The sequence below is a fragment of the Homo sapiens genome, chromosome 1 (assembly GCF_000001405.40).
Source record: "Homo sapiens chromosome 1, GRCh38.p14 Primary Assembly".
NCBI classification, from domain to species: Eukaryota; Metazoa; Chordata; class Mammalia; order Primates; family Hominidae; genus Homo; species Homo sapiens.
The window spans coordinates 144,600,174-144,623,886 of record NC_000001.11 but is presented as its reverse complement, the minus strand read 5'-3'; positions in this window follow the sequence as shown (position 1 = coordinate 144,623,886).

Sequence of the window (23,713 nt, the reverse complement as noted above, 5' to 3'; positions counted from 1 at the left end):
GTTATTTTATTTTTGTCATAGAGTCATGTCATGCATAATAACATTTTAGTCAAAGATGGATTACATATACAAAAGTGGTCCCATGAGATTATAATAGATATTTTTACATACTTTTCTACGTTTAATTATGTTTAGATACATAACCTCTTACCACTGTGTTCTTATTGCCTGCAGTATTCAGTACAGTAATGTAGTACACAGATTTGTAGCCTGGGAGAAAGAGGCTATACCATATAACCTAAACGTGGTAGGCTGTACAATCTAGGTGTTTGTAATACTCTCTGTGATGTTTGCAAAATGGTAAAATTGCCTATGAATACATCTGTTAAAACGTATCCCTATCATTCAGTGATGTGTGACTGTACTAAAATGCTCAATGTAAGTTTCAATGCCCTCCATAAAATTGTTGTACTGTGAAATACAAATCTCTCACCCATGGCCTGAATATGTTTGCAAACTAAGCAGATCATGGGAAGGAGAATGTGCTGGCACCGCTGGGATGATTTTCTCACTCTACATGAATAATATCTACAGACTTCGTGAATATGAGCCACTTGCATAGAGTTAAAGTAGGCATCTCTTTGCTGGGAAAATTATCAAATGGGAGTATGAAGTGTTTTTACAAGATACTCGTTTGTTTGTAGCTGGTAGGCCTACAGTGGCTCTTGGTAATGGTTGAGGTTGCTAAGATTTGGTGGAAGAAGGCAAAATGAAATGGCCACTTATATGGTATATGGTATATGGATCACTTATTTCTGTCGAGTTACAAACTCAGCTGGCTATTTCTCCTATGTTAGTTATTTGGAGAAAAAAAAACGTGATGGTAATTTTGGGGTAACAAATACAATATTTGATGAAAGCAAATTTATTGAGGGTTAGACAAACTACAAGATACTTTAGGCTACAAAGTCAACACGAGAGTTCTGGCCCAAATTGTGCAGAGTTTGCGTCCAGCTGCACAGTTCAAAGGAAGAGGCCATGTAAGAAGATTCTCACTTCTGACACCAACTGCCAGTTCAGGGGTTTCCCCTGAACACCCTCAGTTTCAAGAATTTACTAGAAAGACTCACAGAACTCATTGAATGCCATTGTACTCATGGTTTATAATAGAGAAAGGGTAGAAATTAGGACCAATAGAAGAGACATATCATATAAGGTGGAATCTAGGAGATTTTGAAGGTTAAGTTTCCATTGTCTTCAGGACATATTACCTGTCATTGTTGTACAGCAACAAACATGGAGTACTACCAACCTGGGGAGCTCACCTGATGCTAACAAGACACTATTTACAAAATGAAAAGACAAATGAAAGGATGAGATAAGATGACGTTCCACATTAAGGCACTGGAACGAATAGCAAACTAAACCTAAAGCAAGCAGAAGGAAGAAAATTAAAATTAGAGAAATTAATAATTTATAATAATAATATTTGTTAGTGTTGAATAATTGATATTAATTCTTGACTAGCTTTTTTAAAAAAGAGAAATATTCACTTTCCAATTTATTCTGTGGGGCCAGTGTTACTTTGATACAAAAATTAGTCCAAATAGCATAGAAAAATAAAACTACTATAAGTATAAATGCAAAATTCCTTAAAAAATACTAACAAATCAGATCTAGCAACATATAAAAGAATTATACACTATGACAAAGTGAAATTTATACAAGTAATCCCAGGTTGGTTTAACAGCCCAAAATCCATTAAGGTAATACATCTTATCCATAGAATAAGAAAAGAGAATTCATGATCATCTCGATAGATTCGGAAAACACATTTAACAGAATCCAAAAGCTTTAATGATTAAAAATAAAAATAAAAACTCAATGAACCAGGAATAGAGAACTTTCTACACCAGATACATGGCACCTGTGAAAAGCCAACAGCAAGCAGGCAACTTAATGGTAAAGGATGCTTTCCCGCTATGGTCAGAGATAAGAATAGGATATATACTTTGACCTCTTCTAGTCAACACTGTACTAAAGATTTTATGCAGGGCAAATCGGCAACTAAAATAACAAGAGTCACCCATATTGAACAGGAAGAAATAAAACTTTATTTGAAAATAACATTGTTGTATATAGAAAATTTTAAGGAATCCACCGAACGATAGAACTCGTAAATTATTTCAGCAATATTACAGCAGACAAGGTAAATGTACAAAAATCAATTGCACACATCTGCAATGAAAACCCCAAAATGAATTTAAGAAAACACTTCAATTTAAAATAGCATAAAAAAAGAAATATTAATTAATTTGGAAAATGTGATACAAGATTTTACTCTGAAAATTAAAAATTATTGTTTAAAGAATATTTAAATAATTAGTAAACACCTTACACCCATGAATTGGACGATTTGATATTGTAGTACTTTACAATTTGAACTACAGATTTGATGAAATCCCTGCAAGTATCCCAACAGACTTGTGTCTAGAAACTGACAAGCTGATTCTAAAATACACATGAAATTGTAAGGGACTCAAAATAGCCAAAATAATCTTGAAGAAAGAAAACATATTAGGATAATTCACACCCCATGCTCCAAACCTTACTGCAAAGTATCAGTAATCAAGACAACACAACATTGATGAAGGAAAAATATATAGATTGATGGAAGAGAATTGAGAGTCCATATATAAAACTATGTGTCTACAGTCAATGGATTCTTAAAGTGGTGCCATGTGCAATTCAATGAGGAAGAGACAGTCTTTGAACACACTGGGTCAACAACGTACACGTGGATCACCACTTGCAAAATAATAAATTAGAACCCTTACCCCAAAGCATACAAAAATATTAACTCAAATGAATTAAAGACACACATGCAAGAGGTAGAATAAAGCATATGGGAAAATCTTCAGGATTTTGGATCTAGCAAAGAAATAGCTGTAACCCCAAAAACATGAGCAACAGAATAAAAATTAGATATTTAAAATTTCTTAAAAATTAAAGACATCGGTGTTTCAGAGGACAACCAAGCAAGTCAAAAGGCAGCTCCAAAATTGTGAGAAGATATTTGAAAAACACGTATCTATATGTCTGTATATATATATGTATCTTGAATATAGAAAAATTGGTTTAACTCCGTCACAAATATCCCAACTCAAAACTGATAAATGATAGGAATAGATGTGTTTCCCAAGAAGATACATGAACGGTCAATAATCCCATAAAAATATACTCAACAGCATCACTCTTCAGGCAACTACAAATCAAAACCACAGTTAGATACTCTATGGCTAGAACTGGCCACATTGGAAAATAATTTGATGGCTTCTAAATATATGAAACATAGAATTGTCATATGACCCAGAAATTTATTCCTAGGTATACACCCAGATTATTGGAAAGAGGTGTTCAAACACAAATTGTACACAAGTATTTTTAGCAGCAGTACCTAAAATAGCCAAAGGCTGAACACAACTCAAATGTCAATAAAAATACTATTGGATAAACAAAAGGTTATATCCATGAAATTGAATGTTATACAGTTATAAAAAGAAATAAAGTACCAATACGTACATGAACCTTGATAGCATTATGCCAACTGAACGAAGCCGGGCAGAAAAGGCCACCTATTGTACGATTCTATTTAGATGAAAACAGAATAGGAAAATCTATAGAGACAGAAAACAGATTTGTGGTTGCTTAGGATTGAGTAGGGGATGGGTGCATAGGAGGTTAACAGCTAGGGAAGGTGGGGTTTCTTTTTGAAGTGATGAAAATGCTCTAAAATTCATTGTGATGGTGGCTCCACTTATCTGTACATATACTAAAAGCCACTGACTTGTAGACATTAATGTGTGCACTCTACACTATGTAAATTATATCTCAATAAATCCTTTCAAAAATACACAGAAGAGTAAGGGGTTTTGGAATGTTGCAGCTGGGATGCAGTTTGAAATACTGAATAGGCCTCATCGAGAATGTGAAGTTTCAGTAAAGACCTGAGGAAGTTGAATGAGCTGATCAATGGATATATGGAGGGCTATCTTTCCAAGCCAAAAAATTAACTAGAGTCTTGATCGTAAGGCAGCAGCATGTTGGTATGTCCAGAGGACAGTGAGGTGGCCAGGACCACTGGTAAGATCAAGGGTGAAGATATAAAAGAATTTTGGCGGTTAACATGAGGCAGATGATGATGGGCTTGCAGACCATTGTAAGAAATGTTGTTTTTAGTGTACATGAAATGGGGAGACAACTCATTATCCCATTATCAATATTTTAATAAATTGGATCCATGAACCAAATCCAATGAGATTAAATCAATTAATAATAATATGCAAATTTGTATTAAAATTACAAGAATTACTTGCACATTTGAGAACAGGAGAGACATGATTTTTATCAGCAATAATAAACATTATTAATTTTAATTGTGATCAGCTAATTGAGATTAATTGCAATACATCTTGATTTATAATGTGACTGTCAAAAGGAAAATATGATTGTAATCTTATACTACATCTATCAATGTCTTTTATTCATAAGAGTATAGAGTAAGCCCCTAGTTTTCAAAGCCAACCTATGAAGCAGTGACATCTTATGCAAGTTTGCTGCTTTCTGCCACAGTGATCCTTGGTCAGTGGGCACAAATTGTTTACAAAGGCCCCTAGGTCTAGAAATAGTTTGGATCACAATGAACACAGAAACACCTTCATCCCTTCAGAAATACCCATCAATTACTTCCAATACAGAATGAAAAATTGACAAAGGAAATATGTGGATTGTAAAAATGCCAGTTAGCTTGCAACTACATGAAAGAAAAATGCCATTTTTATTACATTAGGTCATTGTCTCACATGAGTTTTGGTATAGCAAAATGTTGAACCAAGGGAAAAGAGAGATGAATTAATGAAGTCTTAAGATATCAAGAATTTGAAAGAAAAGGCAGGTCATCTTTGAAGGTTAGTGACATAGCATTCATCTTCTGTTGTCACCTTTCCCGTCATTCCCTGTATGCCTGACGGACAGGTTACACTCAAGTTCAGAGAACAGCATGCAAAATTAGCTACCAATTAATCTTTAGGAAGTGAGCTGCATTTCTAGCCAGACTGAGCTTACGTTTTAGCAGGAAGCATTTTTGGGAAATGTTTATGTTAGACTTTGCCCTTCTTGACAAGGTGAGACATAAACGTCTACTTTATAGACATGAATTGAGATGGGAAGATATTTGGGGGAATCATTTACTCAAACGCTAAATAATAAAGGTACACAAAGGGCAAATTATACTAGATTTCTTTCCCACTTGTTTTCTATGTCTCATGCAATTCACCTTGATTCCCTTCAGTTTCTGTTTAATGTAGAAAGTGGCATTTTCATTATTTTAAGCTTCTAGCACAATGAAAGAATTTCTCTTTTTCATGAACAGGATCATACATGAAAAGGAGGAAGAGTGTCCTATATCATATTTATTGTTCAACAAAACACTGCTCCACGGCTTAAATTCAGTTTAAAAAAGAGAATTTGTTGAACATCTAACACATACATAAAAGGCAGTAAAGACACATGAGAAGAGGGCAGGATATTGAAGTATACAGACTTCAATGCTGAGTTTTATATCTTAGGAAGTTACTCCACCTGACAGAAGCTCAATTTCCCCTGATTTAGGAAGGCGATGCTAATGGGTATTGCATAGGTGTAAGTATAAAAATGTTGTATTTAAGAGAATCCCACAAGCTTGGTATAAGGCAGAAAATAAATAGATGCGACATGAATAAGTAGTTTATTACATTTGTATGCTACCTGCGGACTAGAGGAAGCAAGAAACACAGCCACTATGCTTGATTAGCATTATAGAGATGGTACGATGATGGTTGCCAGAAGCTGGGGGAAGGAGGAAATGGGGAAGTATTGTTTAATGGGTATAGAGTTTCAGTTTTACAAGATGAAACGAATTATGGAGATGGATGGTAGGGACGGCTGCACAATGTTATGACTATATTTAGTACCACTGAACTGTACACTTAAAATGGTTAACAGATTACATTTTATGTTATGTGCATTTTACCACAATAAAAAAAATAAAATACCTTAGGAACATTTTCATGAAAAAGCCCACATAAAATTCATTTTAATGCACGTGTTTATGCATAGCTTTCTATTTTTCTCTTTTCTCTTTATATTCCAAATTCTAATCAGAGAAGGGAATCCCCTCTGTACCTCCAGGATATTCAGTAAAGACCACTGGAGGTTCATGCCCTAGTGACAGTGCTCATTTAGCTCCAAATTACAGATGGCTCTAGACTAACTCAACAAAGTTTAAAGAGAAGATTTAAAACAACAGACAAATACTCATCCTGAAGTTACTGAACTGCCTGTCACAACATTATTCAAAGGTAGCCAATAAAATCTAGATATTCAATAGCATAACATCAAAATACCCAAAAAAAAACTCTGAAATGCAAAGAAGCTGTAAGACATATATAATTAAAATATATATTAACAGGATAAAAATAAGTCATTTATAAATGACAGAAAAGAAGGAAATTTCAAGATCCTTAAAGTAAATATATTTTATAAATACATATAGATAAATACATATATATGTCAAGGTACTTAAATGAAAATTAAATATAGGAGAAAAATAAAAGTTATAAAATGAAAAATGTGACATATATAGATGAAAAATAAATACTTGAAATAAAAATTCCATGAGATAGAATAAGTAATGGATTTTACCCTAACATCAGAACATTTATAGAACAAATTGGAAGCATTACAAACTAAAGGACAAACGGTAAACTAAAATAAGAAAACCAGAAACTCACTCATAGGTCAGACAATGTGCATCAGTGTAACATACATGTAGTCAATATCTCAAAAAGGATGGGTGGGGTAATCATAGGTGAATAAGGAATGGTACACTCATTCCTGAGGGCACCGAGGAGGGAGGATAGCTTTAGATTTCTAAGGGAGAGTTTTATCCATTCATGAAGGTCCAAACCCATGACCAAACACCTCCCAGTGAGCCCCACCTGCAACATTGGGGATCAAATTTTAACATGAGATTGGAAGGGGCAAGCATTCAAACCATAGCAAGAGTTAAATTTCCTTTTTAAAAAATTCACTGATATGATTCCATTTCGCCATAGATAAAAACTAGTATTTCAGCCTACCATTGAGTGTGCTTATAGCTCACCAAAAGGGCACTCAGTCTCGGGAATACAGATTTGCATAGAGGTATCCTATTGCAGTCAAAGAAAGAGCAATGAGGGATAGAAAAGGTTAGTGATGGAGACACCAGCGCTGCATTTTGCAACAAACAATGTAAAAACTTTATGGATTGGTTCTGTTAACTTACTTCAGTTTACATTCCTCTCAGGTGGGAGAATTGTTGCGTTTTTTCTTAAGATAGAAAAGCAATTCAGGTAATCTGAAATCTCCACAAGAAGGATAAGAAGCACAGCAGAAACTATTCTAGGCAGGAAGTCAATCCTTTCAACTGTCTGTGCTCCATAGAAACAATTGTCTGCACTGGGAGTCATATGAGGTACAGACAACAGCCAGACCTCTGATCCTCTCATTAGTGATTTCAGAAGAAATTACCAGTCAACTGAGTAACTCACTGAGTATAGTAAACATTTGGCACTGAAAGAGGTTAGATGAATAACTATTTGTATCACCATATTCATGAAGCTGGAATATGTTCCATTACTGGTATCACATCCGAATGGAAGATATTAAAAGGTCTCTCATCTTGTAAGATAGATATGAAAGAATATTTTCTGAGAAATGAAATTATTAACACACCTGCGAGGTGCATGGAAGAGAAAAAAAAGAATAATCACCTTGAGATCTTCTCCTTGATAAGAGAACTCACTAAAAACATAAAGAGAAAAATACAAGTTTAAAATAATTAACCAGAAGAAGATGACTCTAGAGATTTTAAATTGCTGATAAGATTTTAATTTGCTCCAAGTTGAAAATAATTATATTGCTTGTGTTTTAAGGCACATAATGAGCAATTATATCACACAGGATAGTTTCAGCAGTAAAATAGTATCCGTTAACAGCTGGAACTCATAAAAGCATAGCACAATGTGAAGATGGAATTTGCTAAAATAAACCATCTGCTGAAAACTGCTATTCTGCAAATTTAAAAATAAAGTTTAAATGTTATTTGTCTTATTTAATAGGTCTGTGAAAAAAATGCGCTATTTGGAAAGCAGCTGCTACCTTAATTCTTTATATTAGACGGCTGGTTACAATAATGCACAGTAAGGTGCTACATAGATATATTGCTAAATTTTCTGCATATACTATGTATTTGGCTTAAATTAATTGAAATTTTATTGTTAAAATAACAAATGTACATTTCAATGTTTTGACACAAATTGCAAATATACCTTTAAAAAGCGTCTTACACTCTAAATATTATTTGTCACCTATATATTTGTCTTTTCTCTATAGGAAAATTTAAATTTTTCCCTTGAAGCTTTAATTATTTGAGTCTATAAAACAAACTGATAATGTACAAATTAACAGGAAAAAAAGGTTTACAGATATGTGCACAAGTATGCACTTGGAGTTTACATAATATATATAAATATATCTATACAAATATTTGTATATTATAAAGAGATATACAAATATATACTCTTTATATAAAAACTCCAGGAAAGGCAAGGTAGTCAACACGCCTATGCTGTCTTGAGGTTGCAGAAAACACAGAGCTGTAGGTTGGTAAATCAGGCTTTGTGGAAGACAGGTGACGACAAGGAAGAAAGAGGAGCCTGGCAGCAGAGGTGGTCTTGTTACATGGATGAAACCTCACAGGGAGCAGCCCTCCTCTTGGGAAGTATAGATAGGAAATGGCTTTTAGAAATGTAAACGTGCCAGGCTCAGTTAATCATTCCTATACCCAGACAAGGGAGTATCTCAGGGAAAGCCTGTCTATATCAATGCAGATTTTCTCTACAAATGCAAATCTCCCCAACAAACACAGCTTTTCAGCTATTCTTGTAGAAGAAGCTATCTCCAGTCTTCCGAGTAGCCATCGTGAAATATGTCAAAAAGCTGGCCAGGCGCATGCCTGTAATCCCAGCACTTTGGGAGGCTGAAGTGGGTAGATCACCTGAAGTCAGGAGTTGGAGACCAGCCTGACCAACATGGTGAAACGCCGTCTCTACTAAATACAAAAAATTAGCCGAGTGTGGTGGTGCATGCCTGTAATCTCAGCTACTTGGGAGGCCGAGCTAGGAGAATTACCTGACCCTGGGAGGCTGAAGTTGCAGTGAGCCAAGATTGTGCCATTGCACTCTAGCCTAGGCAATAAAAACAAAACTCCATCTCAAAAAAATAATGTATTTTAGGGTAATATTTTGAGTATCTTTACCTCCATATGTACAATAAAAATTATTGCGATTTTTAATCTTTTCTGTGGAGAAAACACAGGTGTGATTTCTAGTGTAGCTGAACATCGTTTATTTGACAGTATTGCACTTGTGTGTGGGTGTGTGCGTGTGTAGCTACTTTTTAATTTGGTTCTCACAAAATGATTAGATACTAACAATTAATTCAGTAAAATGTATGTTTTGCAATATTTCTCCATGTTATTATGCTTTAAATTAGTTTAATCATGCCCCTATAATGTGTACATTTTAACCTTTGACTATAGGTCTCAATCTTACTTTGGTTCCTGTATTTGAATTTATGCTAATAAAGTCCCACAGCTTAATAAGATTACATAAATTTTTTGTATAATTTTTACTAGCATTCTGATGTCATTTTAAATTATGTAATGAAATCAAATTTTAATTTGGATTATTGTTATCTGAGTTAAGGATATAAATTTTTAATTTTCTTATAAATATTACTTAATTATTTCTGAACCATACATTGACTAGTCTGCCCTTTATATGATGTGTATTATAAGAGCTTAGGATTGTTTCATTTGCAAAGATGAATGCTTGAGAAGTAGATATTTAATCATAACATTTCAAAATCTACTGGATAACCTAGAATTGAAACATAGCCTATAGGTTGAAAAACTCCTGTAGTGAAGAAAGAAAATAACTAATATACAGTGACAATATAAATATTATAAGTATTTATTTTATTATCACCCTGAAATTTGATAATACAAACATGTAATATCTACATATCATCCATATATCAGGTCATAAAATATCAATACATTCTTCAAAAATTTAGCATAACAGAAAATGCACTCTCTCTCCTTGATGGAATTAAGTTACAAATAAAAGTAAAAATAAGTAGATAAGTAGATGGAAGTAGATGTTTAAGAACAAAGAAAAATATTTGTTTTGGATAACATAAAATCTCAATTGACAAATCCAATATTTCCAGAACTTTACCTGTCAACTGGTGGAGAGTTTTCCCCAGGAGACATTTGTCAATGTCTAGGGTTATCGTGGGGATGTCAAGACTGGTGGAGGTGTGAAATTTAGAGGTCAAACGAAACACCTATCATTGCTAGGGCAGCCTCCCACAACAAAGAATCCTCTGGTCCTAAAGGTAAGTAGCACCAAGGTTGAGAAACCATAATCTAGACAGGAAACACTACGTAGCTATTCCAAGTGCTCAGGAAAACACATCAGTGCTCTCGAGGGGAAAAGTGTAAACATTTTAATTGCTGTACATGGTGACACAAATCCATGTTGTTAATCTAAGTGGAAGGAGCTGAAGCACAAAATGTAATTCAAAGAGTTTACTTGAGCCACAGTGAGGACAGCTGCCTGGAAGAAACAGACCCAAATATCCTTGGATGTGAACTCCCTTTGGAGCTTTGCAACAAGAAGTTACTTAAAGGCAAAAAAGGGTCCAGAAGTGTGATGACGCAAAGAGGTTTGTCACAAATTCTCATTGGCTTATGGAAATAACATTTATTAGTGACTGGCTACACACTGTTACACTATTATGGGGTGTGGATTATAGTGTCTGGTGTGGCCTTATTGGTTAATTTATAGCTACTGTGGCAACAGCAAGCAGCCTAGATGAACACACAGCTCAAAGAGGAGCAGGACAGAACTGCTGTGTCATTTGAATATCTCTCTGGGCCTGATTATTTCAAAGGACTTGCATTTCTCACATGAAAGTTATTTTCTTTTCTCAATGTCCATAAATGAGAATAAATAGACGTAAAATAGATCTTTTCGAGGATGAAGTAAATGGAATGAAAAACAAAACCCAAGCTGACCAGAAATCATAGAGGGAAGAAAAGGATATAAATATATGGATTTTTCAAAGTGATTTTAAGCTATTAGGAATCAGTTAAATGTTGGGGGAATTGGTCTGAGAATAGGCTAAAGGAGAATGTCCCTTTTGTCTTCTGAAGTCTCCCTGAAAATCACTAATAGGAGGCAGATAAAGAGTAGAAAAGGCATGCAGGTTTCTGTAATGTGTGTACACTGGAACCCTTAGAACGAAGACCCAGTCACACGATGCGTGCAGAAGCTTATCTACCACATGAAGTTTACAGAAAAATGGGGTCTTGGATCACAGGGAAAAGAAAGAAAAAGGTTATGTGAGAAAACGACCCTGGCTAGCAACAGTGGACTTATTATATAGGTGGAACCTCACTGGGAGTAGTCCTCAGAGAGAATAGAAAGAAAATGTTTCTTTCAGACCTTTGGAGACTTAGCCTCTCAGTTAACCTTTCCTAGATCCAGACAAGGGGGCAGACCTCAGAGAAAACCTGGCTGCATCAGGGCAGATTCTCTACCGATGCAAATCTCCCCAAGACAGCTTTGCAGCTAACATTGCTTTTCCAGCCCTTCTCAATAGCCATTTTGAAATATATCAAGGAAATATATTTAGGGGTAAAATATATTAGTTTCCTTCATACAGCTATAAAACATACAGGAATAATTTTTGTCAATGTCTACTACAAATCCAATATAGCAGTAACTATGAAACCCACCAGATATTGATGAAAAAATATGTAGAGTACCTCAATTACAAATGTTGATACTAAAATGCCAAATAAAATACAAATAATATCCAACAATATTTGAAACAGTAAGACAAGAAATTGGCAAAAAAAAAAAAAAAACAAATATCCACCTTCGGGATGAAAGTGTGTTTCCAAATTTGGTAATCCAGTAATATTAATAATCGTATTGATTAGCCCAAATTAAAAATAAATAGGGGATTCTCAGTACATGCTAAAATATGTTTGTTAAAAGGCAATATTCATGTCTTTAAAGGTTTTAAATGCTATAAAGGGTCTGATATTCTATATGCAAACATGTGTATGTCCATTAGAAGAAGAGAGGCCTGATTTTCATATGTTACTACATAGAGACAGAGAAGTGGATACATTAATTTGCATATGCATAGAGAAAGCATAAAACAGAAATTGACTATCATATTAAAGGAATTTTAATTCAACAATAAAATAATTCAAAGGTAAAATTTTAAATATTTTTATCAGGTACATTATTATTATTAGATGATATTTATAATAATTGTGAAAATATTCAGCACTAAAATAAGATACAATGTCTAAACATCAGTATTAAAACTAGTATAAATTTTTACTTGTTTATACAAGCAAAATTCAAGCTCGACCTAAATTTTATGGGAAATAAAAGAAAAATATTAAGGGAGCTCTTTAATGACATAAACATATATATATAAACACACACATATAACATGTATATATGTTATATGGGATAGATATAGATTTAACAGGCTATATCTATATTTGTATCTGTAACTACAGCTGTATTTATCCACATTTCTATGTATTTACTCAGTGATATAAATATAGACTGGAATAAATATAAAGACACATATGATTCTTGGATAAAAAGGATTTAGCATCATAAAGACAAATTCTTTCCAAATTCACTTATGAATTCACAACATTATACAGTTTCATTAGTATAATTTAATATTTTTAAATAAATTCCAAGATTCATTTAAAGGAATATACATGTATACAAGCAGTCAAGAAAGAAGCAAGAGGGCACTAAACTAACTTGCTATTAAAATACATTTTTAAACTTAGTCACTAAAACTGAGCAGTACTGATTTGGAGTACTGGAATTTAGGTGTATGGGATCTCAAAAGCACAGAGCTCAAAGGAGACCCCTGTATGCACGAGAGCTTAGGATGTGCTTTAGAAGGCATTATCAAACCACGGGCAAAGTTACTTTAGTGTCATAGTCTTACTAGGTTTGAAAAGCCAGAGAAAAGACTCAGGACCACCATATAAGAGCAAAACAAAAGGACAGGGAGAGAATGTGAAGATACAGAAACATTTTACATAAAGTTGTATAAAACATCTTTTAAAGAAAATATAAAGTTTTGGATATACATCAAAATCAGCAGAGCCACTAAATAAATAAATAGGCATTGTAAAATAACGAGAAAATTTAAAAGGATATCTAAAAAATATTGACGCCTATGATTTTTAAAATATGTTTAAGAAATCCGGTATTTCACAGGGCAGCCTTTCACAACACAGGTATGTTAGGACATTAAGGTCCTTCTGTTTTTAATTTACTAGTGTTTATAGGGTTACAAATGTCTTCTACCCTTGTCTTTTGTCTGATGGTGCAAAAAATTTTCATAAGCATGTATTTCTGAATGCCTGATGGTTTGACATATATAATATGCTGCCAGTATTAAAATATGAGACGGAAAACGCATCCAATCTTCTCACTGTTTACATAAATTCTAGGTTTCTCCTATTTACCTCAAGTACGTATGGATCGAATTCTTACCTTTTAATATTGCCATGGCATTCACATTGAACATAAGTTGAACTCTCTTATATGGTAGCTGGGTTCGGATTCTCTTGACAATTTCCAGTTCTAAACCTCACAGTTCCTCAGGATGGTTGGCCCAGATATTGACCCTACACAGTTGTCTCCTCGTCGTGACTACCAGCTATGGAAATAGTCAGCAGAGACTTGAGAAGAGGGGTTTCAGGTGACAGAGCTCCCATGGGAGAAGCAGGATCCAATAGAGAGAAGAGAAAGAGCAGAGTGGTTTTATAGAGAGCCAGGAAGAACAATTTGTAGCCCAGGGAATCAGGGAATAACCCCTCACTCAGAAAAAGAGAGCCAGAAAGAAGAGACTTCTAGCCTAGGGACTCAGAGAATAGACCACTCAGAACAAGAAGCCCACACGAAGACCTTCCTGCCCAGAGGATTGCTTTCAAAAGAAGCCTGCGACTCTACTCCAGCTTCAGAGAGAATATTCATCCCTTCAGATTCAAAATCTGTCCTTAGCCATCAACGGGCTTTTGTCTGGAACAATGGCTCAGGAATCTGATTCACCAACGGATCCCTAATCAGTCAGAAATGACAACAAAGACTTCAAAGGCATGCATTTAGGGTTCTGAGTGAGAGGCCCAGGATCCAGTGATGAATCTGTCCTAGTTGAGTTTCAACACCATAGTTGTTAAATAAAAAATTATTCAGTGATACTTCAAATGCACAGTAAAGAAGACTTTATTCAAGACCATCACCATAGATATAGGAACCACTGCAACACAGTCTTGGAGCTGGGGAGAGAGATGGGCTTAACTCTGAATACAGCATGGGGAAGTGGGAATTTATAGCCCAGGAGCAATGCAGGGGTCAGTGAATGGAAAATCACTAAGAGGAAACATCAGGAGTAAGGGAGATTCTGGCTAAACCGCCCTGAAAGAATTCTTGCTGAAGACTGGCCAGGGTGATCAGACATCACCTGCAGAATGGTGAAGAATGAAGAACCTGATCAGATATTGAGAATGAGGGGTTCTTTGGTAAACTTGGCAGTGTTCTTTGCTAATGCTGGATTTTGCGAGGAAGTGCACAGTTTAGCCTAGCTGAAGATTTAGAAGCCTGACTAAAGTTGGCCAAGCAAAGAATCTTTGTTATCAACATATTCCATCAAACCTCACATCCCTGCCTTAAATGATCAAACCATCCGCACTCCTGTATGCTACTGTTCTCCATGAAAAGTTACTTCTTCTTTGCCTTAACCAAAATCCAGCCATTCTAGAAAGACACCAGAAGGCTTTCTGCAGCATCTAAAATTCCCCACATTCTAGGCCCAAATCCTTTTCCTTTCCCTGTTGCTTTTAGATCCACATTGTGTAACCCTCATCTAGAAACCTCAGTTTCTTGGTGTCATTTTTTTTGGGGGGACGGAGTTTCCGCTCTTGTTGCCCAGGCTGGAGTGCAGTGGCATGATCTCAGTTCACTGCAACCTCCATCTCCCAGGTTCAAGCGATTCTCCTGCCTCTGCCCCTTGAGTAGCTGGGATTACAGGTGCCTGCCACCATGCCTGGCTAATTTTTTGTATTTTTAGTAGAGACAGGGTTTCATCCTTTTGGCCAGGCTGGTCCCGAACTCCTGATCTCAGATGATCCACCTGCCTCAGCCTCCCAAAGTGCTGGGATTATAGGCGTGAGCCACTGAGCCAGGCCATTCTTTTTATATAATGTAACTTGTACTTTTATGTAGTAAATTATCACAGTGGTGTCAGACACTCTGAGGAAGAGTATTTTACTGTATCATTCCCATTACCCAATCAGGAAGTCTTAACAGGCAGATTTTAACAAAAATATAAGACACAACTGTGCCCTAGCTTTTCTCACATACTTCCTACCTCACACTTCACACATTTCTTTTTCTCAGCACCCACTCTTAAGTAATAATTTATTTCCCCTGAATATTATTTACCTTCTGTGGGCTACTTTACATATCATCTGAAAGCATGATCAAAACAGTTATATTTGTGAATAATTTTATTTTGGTTTATTTCTTAGCAGAAGGAGGAGTTAATGGTAACATTTGTAGGCCGGGCACGGTGGCTCACGCCTGTAATCCCAACACTTTGGGAGGCCGAGACTTGTGGATCATGAGGTCAGGAGATCGAGACCATCCTGGCTAACACGGTGAAACTCTGTCTCTACTAAAGTACAAAAAAATTAGCCGGGCGTGGTGGCGGGCACCTGTAGTCCCAGCTACTCGGGAGGCTGAGGCAAGAGAATGGCGTGAACCCAGGAGGTGGAGCTTGCAGTGAGCCGAGATCGCGCCACTAGGCTCCAGCCTGGGAGACAGAGCGAGACTCCATCTCAAAAAAAAAAAAAAAAAAAAAAAAAAAGGAACATTTGTAATCTCCCAGAGATTGCCAAGGAAAACATTCTCCTGGCTGAATTTATGTGGAGTTCATCATCTAAGCATAAAATATTTTATAAAGGAATGGGCCAATCAAATAACTGCTATGCGGTTGACACCATAAACCAAGTTAGCTTAGTACCACTCTAAATAGTTGCTGGGAATATAATGATTTTCAAAGACATGATCTCTAGAAATAAATAACTAAAAGAGAAGCACGGTGTCATGCATTTATGCATACACATAAGCAGGGACTAGAGATCAAGAATAGAAATAAAAGAGGTTTTTACACTTGGGGTGCTAAGGTCGCAATGATTTATTTGGAGAGAAAACGGAGGCCCTTCTTTAGTAAATGCAAAGCACCATGTGTTTAATGAAGATACATGACCTAAGCTTTGAAGATCGTTTAACTAATTCAATAACCTTGCCAAGTATCCATTACTACATCTCAACAATCAAATTTACAGTGACATCTTTGAGTTAAATCTCTCCATAGATGTCTGGAAACAGCTTAATTCTGTTAACTGCTGCCCATTGAATTATGCTTTATTTGGTCGTAGAATTTCATGTCATCTGTTAGTCTCCCTCACAACTTGGGAGATGTTATTCCTGTATTGTCTGTTCTCGTTGATGAAGAGAAGTCTGTGATAAAGTAATTGTCCTTCCTTTGCAGGTAATCTGCCTTCCGTCTCTGGTTGATTTGAAAATATTGTATTAGTGTTTAGTATCTTGCATTTTACTGTGGTATGTCTACATATGGATTTATACTTACTGAGTTTGCTCAGAGCTTGGAGTATTTCCTCAGTCTTAAAGGCCCTAGTTGTGAAAATGTTACTAAAGAAAAACTTTCTTTTTTTAACTTAAAATCCTTTTTATTGGGAAATAAATGTAAGATCATAGATAAGTTTGAAAATAAAAGAATTGTTAGAACAAAAAGTACTCATATGCCTGTTACCCTAATTTGTCTATTATTATTTTATTAAATTTAGGTTACCATTTGTTCTCTCTCTCTCTCTCTCTCAATATATATCCCAATTTTCAGTCTTTAGATCTAAATCTTTCAGCAACCTGGACTATCATGGCCCCAGTGTAATGCTTGGCTTTGTACCTCATGAGGGAAGAAATGTTTTTTTTTAATCTTAAGTTCTAGGGTACGTGTGCATCACATGCAGGTTTGTTACATAGGTATACATGTGCCATGTTGGTTTGCTGTACCCATCAACTTGTCATTTACATTAGGTATTTCTCCTGATGCTATCTGTCCCCCAGCCCCCCACCCCCTGACAGGCCCCAGTGTGTGATGTTCCCCACCCTGTGTCCATGCATTCTCATTGTTCAACTCCCATCTGTGAGTGAGAACATGCGGTGTTTGGTTTTCTGTCCTTGTGATAGTTTGCTGAGAATGATGGTTTCCAGCTTCATCCATGTCCTTGCAAAGGACATGAACTTATCCTTTTTTATGGCTTCATAGTATTCCATGGCACATATGTGCCACATTTTTTAATCCAATCTATCATTGATGGACATTTGAGTTGGTTCCAAGTCTTTGCTATTGTGAATAACACCACAATTAACATACGTGTGCATGTATACATCTTTATAGTAGCATGATGTATAATCCTTTGGATATACACCCAGTAATGGGATCGCTGGGTCAAATGGTATTTCTAGTTCTAGATCCTTGAGGAATCGCCACACTGCTTTCCACAATGGTTGAACTAATTTACGCTCCCACCAGCAGTGTAAAAGCATTCCTATTTCTCCACATCCTCTCCAGTATCTGTTGTTTCCTGACTTTTTAATGATCATCATTCTAACTGGCATGTGATGGTATCTCATTGTGGTTTTGATATGCATTTCTCTGATGACCAGAGATGATGAGCATTTTTTATGTGTCTGTTGGCTGCATAAATGTCTTCTTTTGAGAAGTGTCTGTTCATATTCTTTGCCCACTTTTTGATGGGGTTGCTTTTTTCTTGTAAATTTGTTGAAGTTCTTTGTAGATTCTGGATATTACCCCTTGGTTAGATGGGTATATTGCAAAACTTTTCTCCTATTTTTTAGATTGCCTGTTCACTTTGATGAGAGTTTCTTTTGCTGTGCAGAAGCTCTTTAGTTTAATTAGATCGCATTTGTCTATTTTAGCTTTTGTTGCCATTGCTTTTGGTGTTCTGGTCGTGAAGTCTTTGCCCGTGCCTATGTCTTGAATGGTATTGCCTAGGTTTTCTTCTAGGGTTTTTTATGGTGTTAGGTCTTTCATTTAAGTCTTTAATCCATCTTGAGTTAATTTTTGTGTATGGTGTAAGAAAGGGATCCAGTTTCAGCTTTCTACATATGGCTAGCCAGTTTTCCCAGCACCGTTTATTAAATAGGGGATCCTTTGAGGGAAGAAAATTATTTCTAATATTTTAATCCAGCTATGTATGTAAAAAGAAGTCTTTTTCATATTTTATCTATTATTTCTGTATGATTGGAGTATGAGTCAAAACATCTCAATATAAATAAAAAGTTACATTTCAGTAATTCTTTTTTCCAAAATTACAAAACACTAGTGGTCAAAAACACTACTATTTCCAATTCTCTTTACTTTGTTAACATTACTTTTTGTACTTATGAGAGAAGAGTTTGCAATCCAAAAAGAGCAGGAAGGAAGAGAGATTAGAGATTTTTTCTCTCGCTTGCTCTATACATATGAGATATTTATATATCTATATATCAACAGTTGACCTTTGAATAACACTGGTTTAAACTGTGTGAGTCCACTTATAGGTGGATTTTTTCAGCCAAATACAGATTGAAAATATAGTATTTGTGGGACGTGAAACCCACATATGTTGAGGGCCAACTTTTCATATGCGAGCTCTGCAAGGTTGACTGTGGGACCTGAGTATGTGCAGACTTCCTTATATGCAGGGCTCCTGAATGCAATACCCCACTAATACTGAGGGATGACTGTATATGTCTCTATCTATCTACTCTATCACATATATATATATATATATATATATATATATACACACACACACACACACAAATATGTGTATATATATATATGTATGTGTGTATATATATATATATATACTTCCTATATTACTTTGCTAGGGTTGTTATAACAATTACTGCAGACTGGGTGAGTTAAACAACAGAAATTTATTTTCTCACGGTTCTGGAGGCTAGAAGTGTGAGGTCAAGGCATCAGATGTGTTAATTTTATTCTGAAATTTCTCTCCTTGGCTTTTAGATAGTCATTTTCTCATCTTGTCTTCTCATGGACTTTTTTCTGTGCACATGTATGTCTGTACCTAAATTTCCTCTTCAAATAAGGACACCAGTGATATTGGATTAGGACCCAGACATGTGACCTCATTTTACATTAGTTACCTCTTAAAAGTCTCTATCTCCAAATATAGCCACCTTCTGATATACTGGGATGGCAGGGGGCAGGGTACAGCATATTAATTTGGGGAAAGGACACAATTCAGCCTATAACATATGCAATATATTCTTCTCTGATCTATATTATATAACTTTTACATATAATACATATATAATTTAATATACATTTTAACCCCTTGATTAATTTTCTCACTGCAGAGAAAACAAGAATTAAAGAAAAGCTTCAGGTGATACCGTTTTTGAATGAGTAAGAATTGAGCCTACCCTTAACGCAAGAATGAAGTAGAAATAAACTGACTTAGGGAACAGCATAAAAAAGTTCTCTTATGAGTCAAGATTTCAGTGTGATGTCATCATTTTTTCCAGGGATTAAATGTTAGAATATATTGCATGCCCATATTGAGGTGGAATCATAAACTTATTTCAGACTTATTATAATGGCTCATTTTCTTATGCCTTCACCATTGAACTTGTACTTAGCTGGGGATTGAGCTGAAAGTTTGCCTTTTCTGTATCTAGCATAGTTGCACCAAATCTGACCTTAATCCCAAATTTTCCTCTCTGTAATATCTTGTTTCCAAATGAGGCTCACATTGAATTTTCTCTTGTTAGAAATATAACTGGCAACACCAATCAAAACCATTCATTCCATTCAGTTGCCTGTGAACAAGCTTGATTTGCTTTGTTATTAATACAGCTTCTTGTGGGTTAAGTAGAAAGCTCTTTTGTAAATATCCCTCAGTTTAAGTATATATATAGTTTACATTTCCAGGTAAACTATAAATTCTCTAAGAAAGGCCCAGCACGGTGGTTCAAGCCTATAATCCCAGCTCTTTGGGAGTCTGAGATGGGTGGATCACTGGAGGTCAGGAGTTTGAGACCAGCCTGGCCAATGTGGTGAAACCCCATCTCTACCAAAAATACAAAAATTAGCCAGGCATGGTGGTGCACACCTGTAATCTCAGCTACTCAGGAGGCCAAGGCAAGTGATTAAACCCAGGAGGTGGAGGTTGCAGTGAGCTGAGATCGCACCACTGCACTCCAGCCTGGGTGACAAGCTGGACTCTGTCTCAAAAAAAAAAAAAAAAATTCTGTGAAAAGATCTGTGATTTCCATTCTCCTTTATAGTAATTGTTAAGCACTCACAATTCGATGGTTATAACAACTATCAAAGAAAAACAATTATTTTAATAAATATTTTTCATCATTTTCTCCTTTCTAAGCCCTATGCTATGCACTAAAAACTGCAGAGAAAATCAACACATTCTCTACCTCACAGCAGATTTCTTGGAGAGAGATAGGGGTGGGGAGGGGAATAAGGGTTGCTAAATGTTGTCAACTTTGTAATACAACTCTCAAAGGGAGATAGTTATTAGGGAGGCAAAGTGCTCAGGCTCAGATTTCAGGTTGCCTAGATTTGAATTCTGTCTTCACTGCTTCTTTCATGATTTGCCCAAATTACTTAAGCTCTTTAAACCACAGTTTCCTCATCCTTAAGATAGGGATAATAAATAGAACTTATCTCATAAAATTACTGTGAGGATTATAAGTGATTATGAAGTTGATTAAATTTCCCCAGTGCTTCATACAAAGAAAGGACTCAAAGGATATGCTAGTTCATAGTATGGGCATAGAAGAAGATATCCCTTCTCTCCTGGGATATAGGATATACATAACTGTCCACTATAAAATTGAAGATAGGCTAGAGAAAAGCTAAAAATGAAGAATCTAATAACTCTTTAGCCAAGAGAAAATGAAACATGAGGGAAAGGGAGAAGTTCCAAATGAGGTCCAAATTTGTCATGGGCCACTGAATGGTGGTGCCATTCAGGCAGAGGAAACCCAGAAGGAGGAGTCATTCTGTAGTTAGAGGGCACTTAATGAGATAATATTAGAGATAACTGAGGTTGAGTTGTTGGTACATATCTGGGTGCAAAGTCTCCATAGGTCCGGAATTTTGAATAGTTTTCTGGAGTCATCTGGTTATTGTTAAAGCCAAGAGAACTGGTGAGATCACAGAATACAATAATGATCAATAAGAGGGAAGGGAAGAGAGCCAAGAATGGGAGACTGGGAAGCATACACATTTAATTAAGGTTTGGTAAGGTGAAAGGTGTCAGCAGAGAATGTAAAGGTGAAATAATGAGAGAAAAAGGAGGACATCAAGGAGAAAGTCGTGTTTTGAAAAAAACAAAAAGGACACATTTTCAAGAAAGACATTGTCAATAGTTTAAATGTCACAAAATAGTAGAGTATAATGCAATTAAAAAAAACAAAATCTATTGCTTTTGTTAATTAAATAACTAGTAACCTCGGCTGCAGCAGTTTCAGTAGAGTGAGGAGAGTTGACACCAAACTGCACCAGTGGAGTGAAAATAAGTGGGAAGAAAGAGTGAGGAAGTGGAGGGCAGTCTTTTTTTTTTTTTAATAAAATATTTTCCCAAACTGTCTTTTCTGGAACTTCCAACATGTCTGCTTAAGAGCTTGTCTAAGTTGAATTCATTCGAACTTCTTGAACCTAATTAGTTTCTTTTTGCTGTTTTTTTTTTTTTTTTTTTGAGATGGAGCCTTGCTCTATCACCCAGGCTGGAGTTCAATGGTGCAATTTCGGCTCACTGCAACCTCCTCCTCCTGGGTTCAAGCAGTTCTCCTGCCTCAGCCCAATTAGTTTTAAAGACGCTGCATATATTGGCAGGGAAAACCTAGAACACAAAGTCAAACTTCCAATTATCTCCCTTCAGTGCTCAAATCAAGCGTTCATTTGTTGCAAGGAATGGGGATCTGGACTCCAGGGAGAAGAATAGAGTTTTAGAAGGAGAGTTCTCCTAAAACTAAATGGAAGGAGGGTTCTTTGAGATACCAAGGATTTGCAGGACTTTATTTACAATGAAATGTTAGTTTCAGACAGCCCAGGAGGAATAGGTCTATTAAAGGAAAGCAAGAGTAGTTGGCGTAAGGAAACAATTTGCATTGGAGCCTGAGAGTGAGTATAGTAATGACCACATGAGAGACCCATTTGACTCAAGTACTTCAAAGCATTGCCAGTGTTAGTCTTTGCTCCACAATCAAGTGGGGAAAAAGTGAAATGTCTTTGAAGAGCATTTCCTGTAGGTGGCCTTTGAGGAGGTCCTGAAAATTCCAAACCTGCAAGTATTAATGGCAAAGAATAAAAATTTCTTTATGTAAAATACTTTTAAAAATCTTTCTAAATAGCAAGACATTATATATTACCATTGTTAAAAGATAAACGAATTGAGAAATATCATTAGAATTATATGCAGCAGATAAAATGGTCACTTTTTCTTTTGAGACGGAGTCTCGCTCTGTCGCCAGGCTGGAGCACAGTGGCGTGATCTTGGCTCATTACAACCTCCAACTCCCTGGTTCAAGTGATTCTTCTGCCTCAGCCTCCCGAGTAGCTGGGATTACAGGCACGTGCCACCACCCCAGCCAATTTTTGTATTTTTAGCAGAGACGGGGTTTCACCATGTTGGGCAGGATGGTCTTGATCTCCTGACCTTGTGATCCACCCGCCTTGGCCTCCCAAAGTGTTGGGATTACAGGCGTGAGCCACTGCGCCCAGCCAAAAGGTCACTTTTTAAACTTAAAAATTATTAAGAAAACAGTGAAAACTTAATGTTTAAAAGAGTAGAAGATAGGGAAAATTATTACACAGAAAAAGATAAACAACAGAGAAAGATAAATAAATTGCCAGTGACTATGTAAAAAGTTGCTCAGCACCAGTGGTAGTTCAAATCCAAATAGCACTGAGTTAGCATTTGTTAACTAATAAATTGGCAAAAATTATATTTTGATAAAACCCAGTGTTGTTGACATCCCAAGGAAAAGGGCTATGCTCACACAGCCTTGGAGCATGTGCACATTGATGATTTTTTTGGCATAAAAATTAGTGGTTTCTATTAAAATCAGCAGTGTAATTCACAATCGCTAAGACATGGAATCAACCTAGGTGCCCATCAACTGTGGATTGGATAAAGAAAATATGGTACATATATGTCATGGAATACTTTGCAGCCATAAAAAAGAATAAAATCATGTCCTTTACAGCAACGTGGATGCAACTCGATGCCATTATGCTAAGCGAATTAACACAGGAATAGAAAACCAAATACCACATATTCTCACTTATAAGCAGGAGCTAAACATTGAGTACACGTGGACACAAAGATGGGAACAATAGAAACTGGGGACTACTCGAGGGTAGAAGGAGGGAG